General features: G+C 39.3%; 1 protein-coding gene across 50 annotated transcripts in view, besides 1 other annotated feature; it reads left to right on the top strand.

The window, feature by feature from the left end:
• The window catches only part of TUT4 (terminal uridylyl transferase 4), a 130189-nt gene extending 108268 nt beyond the window's left edge, over positions 1-21921 (top strand). For 11 of the 50 annotated variants that reach the window (XM_017000804.3, XM_047416327.1, XM_047416421.1 and 8 more), the window contains 6 exons: positions 6861-6976; positions 8233-8441; positions 9731-9831; positions 13736-14183; positions 19689-19847; positions 21194-21921. In XM_017000804.3, the coding sequence (XP_016856293.1) occupies positions 6861-6976; positions 8233-8441; positions 9731-9831; positions 13736-14183; positions 19689-19847; positions 21194-21261 (1101 nt within the window). In that variant the 3' untranslated portion in view covers positions 21262-21921. Of the gene's footprint in view, positions 1-6860; positions 6977-8217; positions 8442-9730; positions 9832-13735; positions 14184-19688; positions 19848-21193 lie in introns of all 50 variants that reach the window. The other 39 variants (XM_011541097.2, XM_005270682.3, XM_047416413.1 and 36 more) reach the window with 5 other exon arrangements.
• Positions 21267-21316: an enhancer, noted in NCBI's record as "active region_1032". NCBI's record gives its function as "activates an Ori minimal core promoter by ATAC-STARR-seq in GM12878 lymphoblastoid cells {active_cell/tissue: GM12878}" and the evidence as "EXISTENCE:reporter gene assay evidence [ECO:0000049][PMID:35858748]".
• Positions 21922-22954: the final 1033 nt, after the last annotated feature.

Raw genomic sequence — 22954 nt, 5'->3', positions numbered from 1 at the left:
TATGGTTAGGGAGACTGCAGGAGGTTTTAGCTTCAGAGCAGGAGACTTAGAAGAAATCTCAAGAAAGAGAACAAATGTATTAGGGTTCTCTTAGAGGGACAGAGCTAATAGGATATATATAATCCTATTATATATATACACAGACACACACACACATATATATATACACATATATACATATATATACACACATACATGTATATACATATATATACACACATATACATGTATATACATGTATATACACATACATGTATATACATATATATACACATACATGTATATACATATATATATACACACATATATGAGTTTATTAAGTATTAATTTACATGATCACAAGGTCCCATAATAGAGTGTCTGCAGCTGAGGGGCAAGGAGAGCCAGTCCAAGTCCCAAAATTGAAGAACTTGGAGTCCGACATTTGAGGGCTGGAAGCATTCAGCACAGGAGAAAGATGTAGGCTGAGAGGCTAGTCCTGTCTTGCCTTTTCACATTTTTCTGCTTGCCTTATGTTCACTGGAAGATGATTAAATTATGCACACTAGATTAAGTGCAGATGTGCCTTCCCCAGCCCACTGACTCAAATGTTAATCTCTTTTGGCAAAACCCAACAGACACACCCAGGATTAATAGTTTGTGTGCTTCAGTCCAATGAAATTGACATTCAGTATTAACCATCACAACAAACGTGCATTTACATTGCATAGTGAATGTCCTTGAACTTGTTCAGTCCAGTTTCAGGTGTCTTATTTCTTGGGGGTAGAATAAGAAAAGCAGAGAGAAGTCTTCTTTTCCCTTGGAGCACTGGTTCTCAGATACTTTTATTTTCTAGCCTCTTATGGGGTAATAATAATTAAAATGGAGAAAAATAAAATAATAGTAAAATTTGAAACAATGCAAAAAATGTAAAAACGAAATTACTGAAAAAAGGAAAACCAAACAATTTTTTTTTCTTTTTTTGAGACGGAGTCTCGCTCTGTCACCAGGCTGGAGTGCAGTGGCGTGATCTTGGCACACTGCAACCTCCGCCTCCTGGATTCAAGCGATCCTCCTGCCTCAGCCGAGAGTAGCAGGGACCACAGGCGCCCGACACCACGCCCAGCTAATTTTTGTATTTTTAGTAGAGAGGGGATTTCACCATGTTGACCAGGATGGTCTCAATCTCCTGACCTCATGATCCACCTGCCTTGGCCTCCCAAAGTGCTGGGATTGCAGGCATGAGCCACCGCATTTGGCCTAATTTGACTAATATTTTAATTGAAATAGAAACAATGAAAAACAGATCAAAACAAATACAATGATACACTGATAAAGCATTTTACCTGAGAATTGTGAGGAATCCAACTATTTGTGTTTATATATGCATATGTTCAGTAGGAACCTCACAGTGTTGCATGCTGTCAGACCTTTTTGTTTATTTTTGTTTTTTTGATACAGGGTCTTGCTCTTGTCCCCAGGCTGGAGTGCAGTCGTGCAATCATAGCTCACTGCAGCCTTGGACACCTAGGCTCAAGTGATCCTCCTCCCTTGGCCTCCTAAAGTGCTGAGATTTCAGGCATCAGCCACCATGCTCAGCCCCATGTAGTGACACTTTTTTTTTTTGAGACGGAGTTTTTGCTCTTGTTGCCCAGGCTGGAGTGCAATGGCGCGATCTCGGCTCACCACAACCTCCGCCTCCCAGGTTCAAGCGATTCTCCTGCCTCGGCCTCCCAAGTAGCTGGGATTACAGGCACGCGCCACCACACCTGGCTAATTTTTTTGTATTTTTAGTAGAGACGGGGTTTCACCATGCTGGTCAGGTTGGTGTTGAACTCCCAATCAGGTGATCCGCCCATCTCAGCCTCCCAAAGTGCTGGGATTACAGGCGTGAGCCACTGTGCCCAGCCTTTTTTTTTTTAATTTTTTTTTTGAGACAGAGTCTCACTCTTGTTTCCCAGGCTGGAGTGCAACGGCACAATCTTGGTGCACTGCAACCTCTGCCTCCCAGGTTCAAGCGATTCTCCTGCCTCAGCCTCCCAAGTAGCTGGGATTACAGGCATGTGCCACTACGCCCAGCTAATTTTGTATTTTTAGTAGAGACGGGGTTTCGCCATGTTGGTCAGGCTGGTTTTGAACTCCGGACCTTAGGTGATCCACCTGCCTCGGCCTCCCAAAGTGCTGGGATTACAGGCGTGAGCCGCTGTGCCTTTCCGAGACTTTTTAGTAGAATGCTAAATTAGAGTCCTCGGTAAACTGGAAATGGGCCCATTTTAGTTTATGCATGCAAATTTTTAGTAATTCTTAATAATGCAATATATTATAATTACATATAGATGTCAAAATCTTTGGTCTTGAATGTCATTTGGGGCCTAGCAGAAGGGGCCCATGAGTCTGCTAATCATTTTTTGATTTATTTTATTCTCTTTCAAAAGTCAGTATGTAGTATTCCATAACTTGGATATACTAGTTTATCTAACTTTTCTTTTGATGGACATTTAGGTTATCTTCATTATGTCAGTGTTAACAACTTACACAGGTTGAGCACTCCAAATCTGAAGCCTGAAATTTACTGAGCACTGACATGACCCTCAAATGAAATGCTTATGTGGAGCATTTGAGATTTCAGATTTTCTGGTTTGGGGTGCTCAGCTGGTATAAATGTAATGCAAGTATTCCAAAATCCAAAACACTTCTGATCTCAAGCATTTTGGATAAGGGATTCTCAACCTGTATGGTCAAAAATGTCCTTGTACATAGTCTTTCATGCTTATACTTCATACCTATTTCACTCCTAGTTACTGAGATTATAACAGCATGCAAGATAGATTTGCCTTATTTCCCTAAATTAATGAAAGATAAAGATAAGTATATTTCCTGTCCTTTCATCTTTCTTGTTCTTTCAGTTATTTTTCTACATCATTATGTTCTCCTATATATTGACCCATTTTGTCCCTATCCATCAGCTGTCTTCTGTCATTTTTCTTCCCCATTTAACTTACATTTTGTCTGCTCTCTAGCATACACTTTGGCTTTTTTTTTTTTTTTTGAGGTGGAGTCTCACTCTGTCACCCATGCTGGAGTGCACTGGTGCCATCAAAACTCACTGCAGCCTCCACCACCCAGGTTCAAGTGATCGTCCTGCCTTGGCCTCCAGAGTAACTGGGATTACAGGTGCACGCCACCATGCCCAGATAATTTTTGTATTTTTAGTAGAGACAGGGTTTCACCACGCTGGCCAGGCTGGTCACAAACTCCTGACCTCAAATGATTGCCCGCCTCGGCCTCCCAAAATGCTGGGATTACAGGTGTGAGCCACCTCGCCTGGCCATCTGACATATACCTTGAATTGCTTTGTGCCACAGTCCTTCCTGTGCACTCTTCTGTATTGTACCTTATATGAATTCAGGTATCCACCATGTGCCTGTCCTTGGGTAGCTGTACACTAATGGAAAAAAGTAAAAAAGCTAGACAATTTTAAGTATATAGTACAGTCATAAACGTTTACCAGCCTCAACTGGACTTTCAGTACTGTGTGACAGTCATATTTCTTTAGTTACCTTTAGCTCCTATTCTATTAGAACTATTTCAAATTTACTTATTTTACTCAAAATGCAGTATGCCGGCCAGGCGCGGTGGCTCATGTTTGTAATCCCAGCACTTTGGGAGGCTGAGGCAGGCAGATCACAAGGTCAGGAGTTGGAGACCAGCCTGGTCAACGTGGTGAAACCCCATCTCTACTAAAAATACAAAAAAAAAAAAAAAAAAAAAATTTAGCCGAGAGTGGTGGTGCACGCCTGTAGTCCCAGCTTGGCTGAGGCAGGAGAATCGCTTGAACCCGGGAGGCGGAGGTTGCATTGAGCTGAGATTGCAGCACTGCACTCCAGCCTGGGCAACAGAACGACACTCTGTCTCAAAAAAAAAAAAAAAAAAAGCCATATGCCCTGCACTTTGTCCCACCTTTTACCTCTGCCCTTCTCACTCCAGTGGATGCTTTTCCTCTGAGACAGTACGTAGTATCAAATAAATAGTCCTTTAGCTTTCTGCTACTAGATCTATAAATCTACCTGCATCTATAGGTATCTCTTCTTTATGAAAAATTACTTCTTACATATGTACTCTAGATTATTCTGTCTACTTTGAGTCTTCAACCTCTTCATCTGTGAAAAGCGTTTTCAGTTAAAATACATAAAATGTCATTGCAGATCAGCATTTATAGATGAACAGTTGCTCTCAGTTTTAATGATAGGGAACACTAACTTTGAACCCCAATTAAATGAACTGTTATCTCCCTCCAAAATAATTATATTCTTAGTGGTAAACTTATAAAAGATTATATCTAATTATTAGTATTAGCATATTTAACATTTCTTCAATAAAATTTTTTTGTGGAAATTTGCTTTCTCTCATTATGTAAGTACGTATATTACATCTTCAATTTTGTCACAGCACCTAAAAGATTTACTACTTGACTCTTTACAGAATAAGTTTGTTGGCCTCAGGTGTAGGCCGCCCTAACTGGGGCGGAAGGATAGAGAAAAGTGGATTCAAGAGATATTCAGCAATAGAATGGATACAACTTGGTCATTAATTAAAAGTGATGGGTGAGAGAGAACAAGTTCAGGATGCTTCTTAGGTTTCTGTCTTAAGCATCTTGGGTGAATTAAGACCTTTATGTTGTCCTGGCAAAAACTAGGATGATGATTTTAATTAGCTACATTGATTTATCAGTAGTAATGAAGAATTGTATCTCTTGTCTTTAAAAAAAAAAAAAAAAAAAAAACACAGGATGGGCATGGTGGCTCATGCCTGTAATCTATTACTTTGGAAGGCCAGGGCAGGAAGATCGCTTGAGGCCAGGAGTTCAAGACCAGCCTGGCCAACACAGCGAGATGCTGTCTCTAAAAAACCAAATAAAACCAAACCAAACAGCTTCATTGGAATAGAGTCCACATTATATACAATTCACTGTGCAATTCAGTGGTTTTTAATATATATACAGGATTGTGCAACCGTCCCCACAATTTAATTTTAGAACATTTTCATCTTCTCTAAAATAAACCCTTGTCCTCATTAGCAGTCAGTTCTCATTCCGTCTCTTCCCCTCTTCTCAAACCACTAATCCACTTTTTGTCTCTGTAGATTTGCCTATTTTGGACATTTCATATAAGTGAAATCATATGATATGTAACATTTTGAAACTGGCTTCTTTCATTTTAGTGTGATGTTTTCAAGGTTCCTTCATGCTGTACCATGTATCAATACTTCATTCCCTTTTATGGCTGAAAAATATTCCATTGTATGGATATACCACATTTTATTATCCATTCATCAGTTGTTGGACATTTGAGTTGTTTCTACTTTTTGGCTATTATGAATAATGCTGTTGTGAATATTTGTGTGCAAATTTTTGTGAGAATATGTTTTTATTTCTCTTGGTATATACTTAATAGTGTAATTGCTGTGTCATTTTGATAAATTTATGTTTAACTTTTCAAGGAACTGTTTTCTAAAGTGGCTGTGCTACTTTACATTCCCACCAGCAATACATATGTGTTCTAGTTTTTCTGCATCCTCACCAATACTTGTTATTGTCTTTTTAAAGCTATAGGCATCTTATTGGGCGTGTCTCTTATACTTTTATCCTTGAGTTTAGGTAAATGTGACAACACCTAAGTGGACATGTTCTCTTGACTTCCAGAAGGATGGACACTGTTAGGACCAACTAGTCTTCGTGACAGTGCAAAACTAAGCTAAAGTTTAGAAGGATAAGCAAGGTGCAAAGATAAAGCAGAAATAAGTCTGGTTCTAAGACTTTGGAAAATTATTTACTTCTTTTTAGTTCCCTACCTTTTCTTTAGGTCTGTTCCTCTTTACATAATACATGTTACATGTTCTTAAAAAGCTGTATTAAATCCAATCATATTTCACATAAACCAGATAATTGCTTTTTTTGTTGTTGTTAATTTATTTATTTTTAGTTTTTAGAGACAGAGTTTCGCCACTTCGTCCAGGCTGGAGTGCAGTGGCTATTCATAGGCACAGTCATTATGCACTACAGCCTCAAACTCCTGGCCTTGAGTGGTCCTCCCATCTCAGCCTCCTGAGTAGCTGGGACTACAGACTTTTTTTTTTTTTTTTTTTTTTTAGATGGAGTCTTGCTGTGTCACCCAGGCTGGAGTGCAGTGGCACGATCTTTGCTTACTGCAATCTCCACTTCCTGGATTCAAGCAACTCTCCTGTCTCTTCCTCCTGAATAGCTGGGACTACAGGCACACGCCACCATGCTCAGCTAATTTTTGTGTTTTTAGTAGAGACGGGGTTTTGCCATGTTGGCCAGGCTGGTCTCGAACTCCTGACCTCAGGTGATCCCCCTGCCTCAGCCTCCCAAAGTGTTGGGATTACAGGCATGAGTCACTGCACCTAGCCTACAGGCAATTTTGTACAGAGAATAATTCCTTTCCAGAAGTAGCCCGATATAGCAGAAAGCATGAGTTTTGTTGTGAGACAGACTTAGCTCTACATCTTTTATGTGAGACTTAACCTGTTTTTTCTATGGGCAAATGACCTGAACTCCTGAATCAGTTTCCCCATCTGTAAAGTGAGGATGAAAATAGTATCTACTTTATTGAGATTTTTCTTATTCATCTGTAGCATCTTTGTGTAATGTCATATGGATGTAACTTGGTTAGTACTATTAGCAACTGTGATGATGATGATTGTGAATCTTATTTTCATATCTTGGGTTTTCTTACAGTGAAATATTTGTTGCTGTTATTTTCTTTGTAAAAATAAACCATGTTTGCATCTTGGTCTTCTTTCCATTTGGATTCAAAAGTTTTATAGTGATTCCTCCTAGTAAAATTGCATTTTCTCCCTAGGAGTACTTCTTTGATTCCAGAGTATTAACAGATGGAGAACTGGCTCCCAATGATAGATGTTGCCGTGTGTGTGGAAAAATAGGCCACTACATGAAAGACTGCCCTAAAAGGAAAAGGTTGGCAAATGAATATATATCAACATTTTGAGGAAAATAAATGAGAGGCCAATTTGTAGCTATAATTATGTTCAGAAATGTTTAACTGAGAAAGTTTAGGGTATTTAATTATACCTAAGGTAAATGTTCATTTGAGTGGAATTTTGTAATAGGGTAAGATTTGCATGTGGTATAATAGTATCTTCTAACATTCATTTGTTCATTTATTCATTAATTCACTCAGTTTTTTTTTGTTTTTGTTTTTGTTTTTATTTTTGTTTTTTTTGAGACGGCATCTCGCCCTGTCGCCCAGGCTGGAGTGCAATGGTGTGATCTCGGCTCACTGCATCCTCCGCCTCCCAGTTTCAAGTGATTCTCCTGCCTCAGCCTCCCAAGTAGCTGGGATTACAGGCGCACACCACAATGCCCAGCTAATTTTTTGTATCTTTAGTAGAGATGGAGTTTCACCAACATTGGCCAGGCTGGTCTCGAACGCCTGACCTCGTGATCTGCCTGCCTTGGCCTCCCAAAGTGCTGGGATTACAGGCGTGAGACACCATGCCAGCCAGTTTTGTGTTTTTTTTAAATGAAGAACTGTTTATTGACACCGTCTATGTGTTGGGAATTGTTCTAGGAGAAATAAAAGTGACCAAGACGTTGGGTTCTTGCTGAGGATCTCACAGTCATGCAAACTGATAATTAAAATACAATTAATGGAATTCTTGAGATAACATGCTGTGAGCTATATTTATAGATCTTGGGGAATGTACATCTTCTATACTCCCTCAAAATATATCTACGAATTATAGTCTCCCAGGTTCTGTATACTGTAGTAGGTCAGGAAGATCTCTTTCTTTTGTCATCAAGTCTGGCCTAAAATAAAAACTTGGAACTTTTGAGACAGAACGAACTTCCAGTTTCCATCACTGCTATTTACTATTAAATTTAGTCAAGACACTTATCTTCTCTAAGCCTCAATTTCTTTTTAAAACTGGAGATAATAAATATCAACCTCTAAGGATTGTTAAAGGTTTAAGATTTGGTATTTTAAAAAATTTAATATAATATTGTTTTACAAAACTACTGGAAAACCGAGTTCCTGCCAAATGAGCAGGTGTGCCATAAATGTTTGTTCCCTTGCCTTCAAAAAGACGCATGAAATGATGGGCATGTTAGTCCTTTTGTTATTGTGAGAGTCCTGCATAGTTTGTTCTGTGACTCACTTAATTTACAAGTCCCTAGCCCCACATTATTGGTATCAGCAGTTTACTGTTTAGACTAAAGAAGAAAGACAGTGAAGAAGAGAAGGAAGGGAATGAAGAAGAGAAAGATTCCCGAGATGTTCTTGACCCCCGAGACCTCCACGATACTCGAGACTTTAGAGACCCGAGAGACCTCAGATGTTTTATATGTGGAGATGCTGGACATGTACGAAGGGAGTGCCCAGAGGTCAAGCTGGCCCGTCAGAGGAATAGCAGTGTGGCAGGTAAATAGAAAAGGCCAAACATAGTTTCTGGTAGAAACGAAGTCATTTATGTTGCTTGCATGCTAAATGACCCTAATTCCTCTCTGTTGCAAACCTAATTGTATGATTTTGGACCTTACAATTTCTTAAAGAGATAAAATTTAGACAATGAGGCTTTTACTTTTAATAGTACTTGGATAAGTTTATTATCAAGGTTTCCACAGTCTGTTGTATTCAATTATCTCCCTGTAAGTATTCTTTAGATTTTTATTTTTATTTTTATTTTTTTGAGATGGAGTCTCGCTCTTGTTACCCAGGCTGGAGTACAGTGGCGCGATCTCGGCTCACTGCAACCTCTGCCTCCCGGGTTCAAGCGATTCTCCTGCCTCAGCCTCCTGAGTAGCTGGGATTACAGGCGCATGCCACCACGCCCAGCTAATTTTTAGACTTTTAGTAGAGACATGGTTTCACTGTGTTGGCCAGGCTGGTCTCAAATTCCTGACCTCAGGTGATCCACCCACCTTGGCCTCCCAAAGTGCTGGGATTACAGGCGTGAGCCACCGTGCCCAGCCTATTCTTTGGATTTGAGTCAGATTCTTCATCTGTTTCTCTCACTAACATTCTTTACAAGAGACTTTTTTCCTAGAAACATATTGGAGAATTATATTTCTTCCCACTGCTGTTATGAGAGAAGGATACCTGTTCATGTTATATTTCACAAGGAATTTGAGAGTTAAATAGTAACCCAAGTAAGAGTTTATTAAAAAAAAATAAGAGAACATTTTAGAAGTAGTGATTTCCAGTTACTCAGATTCTTACTGCAGAAAGGTTTGTGTGTGTGTGAGAGAGAGAGAGAGAGAGAGACATAGAGAGAGACAGACTCTTGTTGCCCAGGCTGCAGTGCGTGGTATGATCACAGCTCAGTGCAGCTTTGACCTTCTGGACTCAAGTGATCCTCCCACCTCAGCCTCCCAGAATACTAGGATTACAGATATGAGCCACTGCACCCAACCAGAAAGTATTTCTCAAATAAATATGTTGTCTCCTTTAGAAAAGCAGAATAACATTTGTTCTTGCTTCTAGGATCAGTGTTATTTTTTTTCTTGATCTGCTAGTTTGACAAATAGCTTTTAAAATTAAGTAGCTCAGTTGCTGCAAGTCCTTCGTTAATATACTTAAGGTTTAAAAGTCCAAGTTTATAAAATTGCAGAGATATTTGAGATTCTTTTACATAAGAAGGGAGTTTATTTATTGTCATTTCTCTGCTACTTTCCTTATCTGTTGATTTTCTTTGTGATGCCTTCTCTTAGCAGCCCAGCTGGTCCGCAACCTTGTAAATGCTCAACAGGTGGCTGGTTCAGCTCAGCAACAGGGTGATCAGTCCATAAGGACTAGACAGTCATCAGAATGTGTAAGTACTCTGCCTGTGAATGTGTTAGTCTTGACTGATGATAGCAGTATCTTTAATGGGTGATAGTGTTTTCTCTCAGACTGGCTAATACAATCTTCCAGATTACACAGTGCTTTGTATATATGTCCTTGCTAGGCACATAAGGTGGAATGAGCATTCCTTTTGGAATAATGTAGATCTGGGTTTCTGTCTACAGAGAAGCTACTTAATTTATATGAGCCTACTCTTCAATTGTACAATAACTACCTAATAAGATGGATTAAAAATAAGGTAATGACTTTGAGGTTTCAGACTTTGCTTAGTGGAAAAATATCAGTACCATTAATAAAAATAGACCAAAAAATTGAGATGTTTTAGGCATTTAGTGTTGTTAGGGCAATATATACATGGCATTTTGCTTGCATGAAACTTCTGTCTTCTCATAGCTTGACCTGTGGATACCTAGTGAAATACACCCTGTAAAAAAACAGTATTGAATGAGAATTCAGACTCATAAGTTTATTTTACTATCTTTTCTTTTTTTTTAAGATGGAGTCTCACTCCATTGCCTAGGCTGGAGTGCAGTGGCGTGTTCTCGGCTCACTGCAACCCTACAATCCACACCCCTGGGATCATGCAATTCTGTCTCCATCTCCTGAGTAGCTGAACTGCAGGCAATACTATCACGCCCAGCTAATTTTTGTATTTTTAGTATAGACTGGGTTTCACCATATTGGTCGGGCTAGTCTTGAACTCCTGACCTCAGGTGATCCACCTGCCTTGGCTCCCCACAGTGCTGGGATTACAGGTGTGAGCCATTGCGCCCAGCCCAGACTCATAAGTTTAATATTGTTTGTTGAGTTGCTCTTAACCTTTGTGTAAATCTATATTCACCTTGTACTTCTTAATTAATAATGACTCTAAATAACACTCTAAATCTGACATAATATTCAGTGCTTTACACTTAGCAAATTTAATCCTTGGAGTGGCCATGTGAAGTGGTAGGTATTAGTATCATCAAATTTTACAAATTGGGAAACTGAGAATAAGAGAGTATAAAAATCAAACCGAAGTCTTTCTAGCATCAAATCCATTAACCGTTTAACATGCTAAATCTAATGTGATTTGTGTTTTAGAAAAAACATTCAAGTATTTGAAGAGTATTAGGGAGAATCTTTGGAAAACATTTAGGAAATTTTCCACCCTCACCTCAAACACTTGAATACCTATTATGTGCTTGATACTTTCATAAACAACAATAATCACATTTAATGTAGTTAACATTTGTTGAGTGTAAACTATGTGCTGTACATGCATTCATTCTTTGTGATTATAAAATATTTCAAAAGTACAGAAAAGTATAGAAAATAAATCTCTATGTATCATTACCAGGCTTTAACAGTTTTTAACATTGTTATTTTAGCTTTATTAAAAAATCACCCTCAGTTGAACACCCTGTACATTCTTCTTTGATCCCATTCCTATCTTAAAAGCTTCCTACCATCCTTCCCTTGCTACAGAAATGTATCTGCTATCTTGAACTTGGTGGTTATATGTTCCACATGCATTGTTCAGTTAATCTTCTCAAAAACCTGAGGCAAATTCTGATTATATTTTATAGGTAAAGAAACCGAGGTTTCAGTTTCTTGCCTGAGGTCAATAGACACTTGGAATCAGAACGCGAACCCTCAGGCTCTCTGTCAGCAAAACTTATGCTCTAACCACTTTTCTATGCTGCCCTAATTTTCATTTTATGCTACTAGTCCTCACTTTTCTCTCACCCGTGCTTTCGGAAAGAGTCTGTCTAATGGACATTGCTATTCTGATGTCTAACAAAGCACGTCAACATGCCTAAAATATAGTTAATCTTTCCTTTCAACCCCCAGGACTTGCCTCTTCCTCCTGTGTTTTATATCTCGTTGAATGATCCCATTTTCTATCTAGTTTCCAAAACTTTTCCCTCTCCTTCAACCTCTATGTTCAGTCACTAAGTCCTGTTGTTTCTGCCTTAAAAAAAGCTAGGTGTTTGCCTCACTCCTGTAATCCCAGCACTTTAGGAGGCTGAGGTGGGTGGATCACCTGAGGTCGGGAGTTTGAGACCAGCCTGACCAACATGGTAAAACCCCATCTCTGCTAAAACTACAAAAAATTAGCTGGATGTGGTGGCAGGGAACCTGTCATCCCAGCTAGTTGGGAGACTGAGGCAGGAGAATCACTCGAACCCAGGAGGCGGAGATTGCAATGTGCCGAGATTGCACCACCGCACTCCAGCGTGGGCAACACAGCGAGACTGTCTCAAAAAAAAAAAAGTATCTCACAGCCATTTGCTTCCCTCTATCCCTGTTTGTGTTTCCTTAGCCTAGGCTACTATCATCTCCTAATCAGTCTCAACAGCCTTTTAGCAGTCTCCTAATCAGTCTCAACAGCCTTTTAATTTTTACTTATCTATTTATTCATTCATTTTTGAGACAGCGTCTTGCTCTGTTGCCCAGGCTGGAGTGCAGTGGCACAATCATGGCTCACTGCAGTCTTGACCTCCCAGGCTCGGGTGATTCTCCCATGTCAGCCTCCAGAGTAGCTGGGACTCCAGGCATGCACCACCACACTTGGCTAATTTTTGTATTTCTTGTAAAGATGGGATTTCGACATGTTGCCCAGGCAGGTCTCAAACTCCTGAGCTCAAGTGATCTGCCTGCCTCAGCCTTTGAAAGTGCTAGGATTACAGTCTTGAGCCACTGTTCCTGTCTCTCATCAGCCTTTAAAAAAATTCTCTATTTTATTCTTATTAAACCAGGATAATCTTTCTAAAGTTCAGATTGATCATGTTCCATACCTGTTTAAAACCCTTCAGTGGTTTACCACTGCATTTAGGATATAGTCTAAATTACAAGGCTTATAAGACACTTCATTGTCTTGCCCCTATTTAGCTCTTCAGCCTCGGCCATTCCCCTGCCATTATATATACTCCAGTAATATTAAACTTCTTTCAGATTCCAATTACTTTAAAAAGCCATGTGTTTTCATACCTCTAGACCTTCAATCATATTGAACACTCTTCCTCTCCCCTTATCTCTCCCTTCTTGTATCAGACTGATTTCTGTTTACCCTGAGTCTCAGCTAAAAGATCACTTTTTCTAGGAAGCTTTCCCTGATTTCTCTTCTCTCCTTCTCCCAAAGTGACTTTAGGTGTTCCTGCTCTGGGATTTCATTATGTAGTTGACCCTTGAACAAAACAGGTTTGAACTGCGTGAGTCTACTTATACATGAATTTTTTCCAACAGATTGTGGTTGGAAAGTACAGTATTCCCAGGATGCAAAACCCAAGTATTCAGAGATCCAACTTTTTGTATATATGGGTTCTGTAGAGCTGACTGTGGGACTTGAGTACAGGATTGTGGGGGTCCTGGAACCAATCCCCTGCATATCCTGAGGGACAGCTGTACACTGTACATTCTTTATCATAGTACTCATTATACTTATTATGATTGCTTATGTAATCTTTGTCTGCTCCCTTCCTTATCCCCCTTAAACGTTGAGCTCCATGAGGGCATACATGTTGGTATTACATTTTTATTACCTAGAACAATACTTAGTACATAATTGACACAATAAATACTTGTTGAGGGACTGAATGAAAGTGACTATGAGATATTTAGATGGAAGTTTTGAGTTTGCAATAGGAAGTATGTGTTCTGCACGATGGGAACCATGTCTGGGCTCTCGTTTCTTTGGACAATAAAACGATTTGTGAGGCAATACCTACTTGAAAAGGGGGTTTGAGTACCTTGGGAAAAACTAATTATTTGTTATGATATACATCATAGAGTTCTGTTTTATAAAGTTTTTAATTTTGTATTTTATCTCTACTTTTATAAAATTAAGATGTTTATAAATTAATTAAAAAAAATTTTTTTTTTGTCTGCAGTCTGAATCACCATCTTATTCTCCTCAGCCTCAGCCATTTCCACAGAACTCTTCCCAGTCAGCTGCTATTACTCAGCCTTCATCTCAGCCAGGATCCCAACCTAAGCTTGGCCCACCTCAGCAGGGAGCCCAACCTCCCCATCAGGTCCAGATGCCACTGTATAACTTTCCCCAGTCACCACCAGCTCAGTATTCTCCCATGCACAATATGGGATTGTTGCCAATGCACCCTCTCCAGATCCCTGCCCCGTCCTGGCCCATCCATGGCCCAGTGATCCACTCTGCACCAGGCAGTGCCCCCAGCAATATTGGCCTAAATGATCCCAGCATCATCTTTGCACAGCCTGCTGCCAGACCTGTGGCAATCCCTAACACGTCTCACGATGGACACTGGCCCCGTACTGTGGCTCCAAATTCCCTGGTAAACAGTGGTGCAGTGGGGAATTCAGGTAACCTTTCCTTTTCTTCTTTTTTATCTGCATGTCTTTTCTTCTTTTGTATCTGTCTGTAGAAACAATGTGAGGAAAAAGAAGGAAAGCAGTATTTGTGGAGGGGACAGTACAGGATTAGATAAAGATTAAGAATATGGGCTCTGGACTCAGACTGCCTGGATTTGAATCCTGGCCCTGCCATTTATTATGTAGCTTGGGCAGTTAATCTCTTTGTGCATTGGTTTCATCTGTAAAATAGGCCATCTAACTCACAGGGATGTTGTAAATGTTAAATGAGGTGTAACACACATAAATGTTAGCTATTATTTTAGTATTTTAAAAAATTTTCACTGCCACTCAGTTTGGTGTATTATTTATTACACAGTTGATGAAATTGAAGAGTTAAGTAACTTCACTGTCTTACTGTCATGGTTAATAATGGTAGGTTGGCCGGGCATGGTGGCTCATGCCTGTAATCCCAGCACTTTGGGAGGCGGAGGCAGGTGGATCACCTGAAGTCAGGAGTTCGAGACCAGCCTGGCCAACATGGTGAAACCCCATCTCTACTAAAAATACAAAAATTAGCTGGGTGTGGTGGTGCACGCCTGTAATCCCAACTATGTGGGAGGCTGAGGCAGGAGGCTCGCTTGAACCCAGGAGGTGGAGGTTGCAGTGAGCCGAGATTGCGCCATTGCACTCCAGCCAGGGCGACAGAGCAGAACTGTCTCAAACAAAAAAAAGATCAAGGAAACCAAAAAAATTAATGATGGTAGGTCCAAGAGTTAAACGAATTTCTTTGTTCAAAACCGTGCTGCTGCATGCCCTAGACACTATTTTTTCTCAGGAACAATTCTTTAAAAAAGAAAAATAGTTTTTTTTCTGATATCTAAGTAATAAATGTTCATTATAGAGTATTTGAGAAATAAATCATCTATCATCTCAATTCCTAGACATAAATACTAAGGAATATTTTGGTGTATTACTATTCAGTCATTAAAAAAAAACTGCATATTTAAGAAAATAGTTGATACATGCTATAAATCTAGTTTTACATCCAGCTTTAAAATACATAGACACACACACACACACATATATACACACATACATATAAATATTTATACACACTTAAACATACACAGGCCGGCACTGTGGCTTACACCTGTAATCCCAGAACTTTGGAAGGCTGAGGTGGGCAGATCAGTTGAGGCCAGGAGTTTAAGACCAGGCTGGCCAGCATGGCAAAACTCTTGTCTCTATTAAAAATACAAAAATTAGCCGGGTGTGGTGATGCATGCCTGTAATCCCAGCTACTCAGGAGGCTGAGGCAGGAGAATCGCTTGAACCCAGGGAAAGAGAGGTTGCAGTGAGTTGAGATCATGCCATTGCATTCCAGCCTGGGCAACAGAGTGAGACTCTCTCAAAAAAAAATAAATAAATAAATAAAATTAAAAAAAAGTATATATATATATATATTTAGACAAAGTCTCAAAGTGTTGTCCAGGTTGGAGTGCAGTGGCTATTCACAGGCCAATCTAGCATACTACAACCTTGAACTCCTGGGCTCAAGTGCTCCTCCTGCCTTAGCCTCCTGAGTAGCTGTGGGACTACAGGCACACACCACTGTGCCTGACTTATGCCCAACTTTTTAGTGATAATTATTTTTATCTTAAGAACTATTAGCACTTTGGGAGGCTGAGGCGGGTGGATCACAAGGTCAGGAGATCAAGCACATCCTGGCTAACACGGTGAAACCCCGTCTCTACTTAAAAAATACAAAAAATCAGCTGAGCGTGGTGGTGGGCGCCTGTAGTCCCAGCTACTCGGGAGGCTGAGGCAGGAGGATGGTGTGAACCCGGGAGGCAGAACTTGCAGTGAGCCGAGATCGTGCCACTGCACTCCAGCCTGGGCGACAGAGCGAGACTCCATCTCAAAAAAAAAAAAAAAAAAACCTATTATGGAAATTTTGAAACATACACAAAAGACAGTAAAGTATATAATGAACCCCCCTCCCCATTAACCAACTTTAACAGTTATCAATAATTTGCTATTCTTTTATCGGATTCCTAGCCATTAAAAATATTTTTGACTTGACTGATCAAATCTCAGACATTGCATCAAATTTGCTTTTTAACTTCAGTTGTGTCACTTAAAAAAAACATGAGATCATTGCCATACCTAGTATCATCTAATACCCAGTCCTTGTTCAGTTTTTCCTGTTTATCTAAAAAAGTATATAGTTTTTTGAGACAGTCTCGCTCTGTTGCCAGGCTGGAGTGCAGTGGAACAATCTCGGCTCACTGCAACCTCCGCCTTCTGAGTTCAAGTGATTCTCCTGCCTCCCGAATAGCTGAGACTACAGGTGCGCACCACCATGCCCGGAATTTTTTTTTTTTTTTTTTTTTTTTTAGAGGGAGTCTTGCTTTGTCACCCAGGCTGGAGTGCAGTGGCACGATCTCAGCTCACTGCAACCTCCGCTTCCTGGGTTCAAGCGATTCTCCTGCCTCAGCCTCCCAAGTAGCTGGGATTAGAGGCGCCTGCCACCACGCCTAGCTAAATTTTGTATTTTAGTAGAGACGGGGTTTCACTATGTAGGTCAAGCTGGTCTTGAACTTCTGACCTCAAATTATCCGCCTGCCTCGGCCTCCCAAAGTACAGGGATTACAGGTGTGAGCCACCGCGCCTGGCCCTAATTTTTGTATTTTTAGTAGAGATGGGGTTTCATTCACCATGTTGGCCAGGATGGTCTCGATCTCTTGACCTCATGATCCGCCTGCCTTGGCCTCCCAAAGTGCTGGATTTACAGGCGTGAGCCACTGTGCCCAGCCTAAAAAAGTATTCCTATTATCGATTTATTTGAATCAAAATTAAAACTGTGTGTTTGGTTTTTATATCTCTTTGATTTTTATCTCTCTTAACTGTCCTTTATAACAGTTGCTGCTTCTGTTTTTTTTCCGATATTAACTATAAGGCACTGTAGAATTTCCCATATTCTGGAGTTGGCTGATTATGTCTTTGTGGCATCATTTAATGTGTACCTCTGTCCCTGTATTTCCTGTAAACTGGGATTTAGATTCAGAGACTGGATTAGATTCAGGCTCTTTCTGTTGGTAAGAATGCTGCTTGGTGGGTCCGTGTATTTCCAGTTTCCTCACTTCAGAAGGAACTTACTGTCTGGTTGTAACTATTTTAGTGACTTAAGATTGATCTGTGAGTTAGGTTTTATCAGCCTGTTTTACCCATTATCAAATTCATCATTTTTACTTAATAGCCTTAGCTGCCATTGATAATTGTTGCCAGTATCCATTATTTTGCTGTCTCCAGCTTCTTTTGGAACAATGCAAGTAAGGTATTTTGCTGAGCAAAAATGCCAGAATATGGTAACTTAATTAGATTTCTAAGATCAGAGGATATATGGCATACATGGTCCTTCTCATATATCATTCAACATGTTTATTGTGTATATGCCATGACATGCACTGTGATAGTCACTGAGTTATAGAACCATGAAGACAGACCCAGTGTTTTGCCCTTTGATGTATCAGCTCCATTTTTATAATTTGAAGTCTTCCATCCCCCTGCAACTTGTTGTTCTCAGTGTTTTAGTCATAGTGAACTAATTAATGTCCCACAAACATACTGTACTATCTCTTACCCCTGGTTGCTTATCTAAGTTGTTCCTTCTGCTTGGAATGTCCTCTCCGTTACCTCTGCTGCTCACTCTCACCTTCTTCTGTGCTGCCTCAAAGCTTGGCTAACTCACTCATCCTCCATTTTTAAATTTAGATCACTTTCTTCAGGAAATCCTCATTTTCTTAGTATTCATATCATAACATTTGTCTTACTGTGCTGAAATTGTCTGTTTACTCATCTGCATAACCCATTAGACTGAACTTCTAGAAGCAAAAAATTGTTTTTTGTCTGTCATTTTCTGTCTAGTAGTGAGTTTAGTTTTCTCTTTAGTAGCCTGCCATGTTCCTGTTATATAGTATTATTATCTAATAAGCTATACTTAATATTATTCATTGTATAGATACTCAATTCATAATTGTTATTAAAGCTACAGTTACACTGTGTTGAAAATGGAAGGACTGAATGGAAATATATTAAAATAATAATCATAGTTGTATCGGAGGAGATTATTATGAGTTTTTTTCCCCCATTTTTCAAATTATCTTTAATGAGATTGTATTACTCATTTTCTGGAAATTTTGGGTTATGAAAAACAGGCAAAGGGGATTGGAATATATCTTTTAAAAATACCCTTTTATGTTAAAACATCATTTCTCATTTGGTTATGACCTAATTCTGGATATACCAGTTTCACTTATTTTTGTAAACCCTGAGCCCTTCAGATTCAGCCCTTAGTTGTAACTTGGCTTTTATGAATTCACAGTGAACTAGCTGGTTTGCTTACTTTCTGAGAAGATTCAGCTTCTAAGAATGCAGTTCACACGGGCTTTAGTTTTTTTTGCTGCCTACTCTTTCCTATCCCGTACTTAATTTGAGTTCCTGCTGAGAAGTTTAGTGAATAAGGGCAGTTATTCCCTTTTATTCCCTAGCACACTGTGACTCTGAATGAGAAAAGCCACCAGAATGATCCAGAATATAAACTGGGTACTGCACTTCGAAAAATGTACTTAAAGATACATTTTAAAGGGAAATAGATTTGGGGGGATAGTTAGCCATAAAAAGAATAGGACTTACATTTTTTGAGTACCTACCTATATGCTAGCTCTTGTGCAAGCTACTTTCTTTTGGTTATCCAATTTAAACCTCATAATCTGAGGTTCAAAATGGAACCTTAGTAGTTTTAGGAAATGAGATTTGAGCTTAGACTTGTTTGGCCTCAAAGCCCAAGTTCTCAACCATTATGCCACAATGCCTCAAGCTTGTAATAGGATCTCCTTCCAGGCCAAGATATAATTGATTCTGGGATAGTTGGCATTGTCTTTAGGATAAAATCTTAAGTTCCTTTGCATGATGTACTAAGGTTTTTTGAAATGTATATCCCCACCTACCTGTCCCGCCTTTTCTCTTACCACTTCCTCCATCACTCCTGTCTCTATGTTGCAGATTGTTGTGCAGTTCCCCAAACTTGATGTGCTTTCCTGCTTTCAGGCTTTTGTACATGATACTCCTTCTCTCTGAAATGCCCCCCACCCCCTCCCTATTTTGCCTAAATTTTTCCTTGTTTTCTAGAACTCATATTAGTCAATCATCTTACGAAGACTGTCTCTAACCTTCAAAGACTGGGTTAGCCCTCTCTTCAGAACATTTTGCCTGTTCTACTAGCAATTATTACATATTGTTGTGTATATATATATCTCTTCTTGTATGTCTCTTATGAATAATTTGAGCAAATACCAATGCTTTATTCTTTAAAAAAGTTTGTTTGGTATTCTCTGAATTTAGCATAGTTCTTAGCCAATGGTAGGTACTGAATATATCTTTGTGGAATGAAGGGATATTTCAATGAATGAACTAATGTTTTTAAATGTCTTTTTCCCTCTTGTTGAAATGCAGAGCCAGGCTTTCGAGGACTGACTCCTCCAATTCCTTGGGAACATGCACCGCGTCCCCATTTCCCCCTTGTCCCAGCTTCGTGGCCTTATGGTTTGCATCAAAACTTCATGCATCAGGGAAATGCCCGATTCCAGCCCAACAAACCTTTCTATACTCAAGGTACCACTGCTTACAAATTAGTTAACAGGCTTGGGTGGGTTTTATTCTGGGATAGAGAGCCTTAGTGAAGGCCAGGATCTGGGAGTGAAAATTCATGAATTCAGTAAACATTTACTGAGAAATTATACTGTGTGTCAGATGGTGCTAGGTGCTTGTAAAACAAAATCTCCATTACTTGATGCACACTTTATTAGGAAAGCCAGACATGTTAAATAGAAAAGGAGTTTAGATGAATCAGTTAACATTGCCCTAGCAAATCCAAACAGGATGTGGATTTAAGATTATTACATCACAAGATTTTGACAGTTGAGCTAGATCTTGAAAGAGATGCAGGAATTTTTTTTTTGCCTAGAGATGAGAGAGGAGGAGGAGTATGCTTAGCTGAGGGATTAATATATGCAGTCACTGAGTTTTGCCTGGCATAATGAAAAAGAGTAGAAAATATTAGGGCTAGAGGACGGAGGTATATGGGAAAGATGGTGATAAGGCTAGAGAGGGTAGGCTTAGACCATATTATGGAGTTTGGACTTGGTTTACTGAGCATTGGGGACCTAATTAAAGGTTTTTAGTGGAACGAAGACATAATCATATTTGTTTAGTAAACGTAGGACTTGAATGACCTTAAAATTTATTATGTTCTGCTGGTGCTATTGTAGTACTAATAATGGCTTTGACTGGGTAATGAATATTACAAACAAAGAATTCCTAGAAACTTGGAGCATTTTATCTAACCTACTTGCCTCAGAGGTATTTGTTCTTATAGGCATTGTCTGAGTCTGGCCTTCAGCTCTTTGTTAACTTAGTTCAGAACACTTGGGTCAGAGTCAGTATAGTTAAACTAGGAGTTCAAGAAGTTAAAACAGGCACTCAGGAAATGCTGATTGAATGAAATGATAACTTAAAGGGGAAGTGCCTGGTATGGTCTCAGGCTTGTTATATTTAAGCCTTCTTAAACCACCCATATACTACTGGGGCATCCCTGTATTGTAGAGTGGCAGAGCCTTGACTGTGGTTGAGCTCTTCTCTTGAGCAAAGAACTGGGGCTGAAGGAAGTTACTATTAGTCATAAGCCCTTTTAGGAGGGGAGAGTCTGCAACTCTTTTCTAGTGGGTTTTTTCCCTTTGATTCCTCCTCTCCATCTTTCGTGTCCTCTCCTTTTTTCACATACAGGTATTTCCTTCCCTTCTTCATTTTTCTCCCCACCCTCTCAAATGTTTTGCAGCATGCTTTATCACCTCCTATTATATAAATAGAAAAAAAGAAAGCTAACTACAAGTTAATTCTAAGGTGTTGTCAGATAAACAGGCACAAGCCTTTCAGTTTCCTGTCTGTGTTGTATCCAACAGACAGATGTGCCACCCGTCGGTGTAGAGAGCGTTGTCCCCACCCACCAAGAGGAAACGTGTCGGAGTAATGCGAGTCCATTTTCTTTCAGCTGGTCTACCGATGCACAGCAACCAGCCAATCCTGCTGTCTCAAGGGTATCCGTACCTCAATGTCAGTTACATTCAGCAGAAAAAGTGACATTTAATGGAAAGCAAAACAAATCAGGTCCTGATTTAAAATTTTAACACGTTTAGATAGCTTATTTAAATTCTAAGACTGTTTTTACAGACTGTATTATTTGTATATAAATATGAACTATAGTTTTTACTAGTATCACCAAATTGAGTGATACAAATTTCATCTATTTTATTACCCTATTTTTAAGGGAATTTTATGTTTTGTTTAACCTTGATGAATTGTATAAAGAGAGAATTTAAAAAATTACATTCTTTATTTTCTATTAGCTGTATTCATACTTTGGTTGCTTCAGACTTTATATATTGTTCTTAAAAGTTAGGAAAGAATTTCATGTGTTTTAAATTGTCACTTCTATTCTTTACAGAACCTTGTAGTGCCAAAAACTTTTTAAAAGGTAAAAAAATAAAATAAAATTACAACATGAAGATTCAGATTTTTTTTCTTTTCCATACTTGTATATTGAACATTCAAACTTGAATGGAAAGTTGATTTTGTCTGTATTTGAAGTACTTCTATTTTAAGTTAATAAATCTTTTTGACAAGAGTTAAATTTGGTTAATCTGTTGTATAGATGATGGAAATATTACGTAACAAGATTTCTTTTAATTTCAGTGAATAGAGCATTCTAAATCACAGATTTTAGTTTTAGAGATTCAAGTAACATTTCATATCCTTTATTTGGTTGGATGTTCACAACACCCATATGAGGTTGATAGAAGCGGAAGCCATTTCCATTTTATCTTTGAAAATAAAAACTGAAATGCAAAGCAGTCAGTAAATTCCAAAAAGCAAACAATGCTGGAGTCTGAATTGAAAAGTATTTGGAAAGAGAATTTTAAAACACTGAGACTAATATTGGCAATTAGAGTGGAGGGAAGATTACTTTTTTTTTTTTTTTTTTTTGAGATAGAGTCTGTCTGTCACCCAGGCTGCAGTGCTGTAGTATGATCTCGGCTCACTGCAACCTCTGTCTTCTGGGTTTGAGCGATTCTCCTGCCTCAGCCTCCCGAGTAGCTGGGATTACAGGCATGCACCACCACACTTGGCCAATTTTTGTATTTTTAGTAGTGGCGGGGTTTCATCATGTTGGTCAGGCTGGTCTCGAATTCCTGACCTCAGGTGATCCACCTGCCTTGGCCTCCCAAAGTGCTGGGATTACAGGCGTTGAGCCACTGCACCCAGCCCAGACTGTATTCATTTTGAGTCCTATACTTCCACCTGGAAAGCACACTTGCCAAGATGATAATTATTTACCAGTAATACTTGGAATTAATTATTATTGGGTATTGGAATTCAGACTCGAGTTGTTGGTGGCATAATGTTTTAGCTGTTTTAGCAGTGAGGTGAGGTAATTTTCTCTAACCCCTTAATTAGTCCGTCCAGTTGCCTGGGATTTTAGGCTAAATGATGCTATATATCTATTTGGAAAGGTGCAGAATAAGTAGATAAAAATGTAAGGACAGTGGGTTATCTTTGCTGCGCTTCCTCTGATATACATTACTTAAATAGGAGACTGCTTGGGCCCTTGCCATATTTTGCAACATGGAAGATATTTGAAACCTATTGCAGGAGGTTGAGGGTAT

Source organism: Homo sapiens, chromosome 1 (genome assembly GCF_000001405.40).
Source record: "Homo sapiens chromosome 1, GRCh38.p14 Primary Assembly".
Classification (NCBI taxonomy): domain Eukaryota; kingdom Metazoa; phylum Chordata; class Mammalia; order Primates; family Hominidae; genus Homo; species Homo sapiens.
The sequence above is the reverse complement of the archived record's forward strand: the minus strand, read 5'-3'. Positions and strand labels throughout refer to the sequence as shown.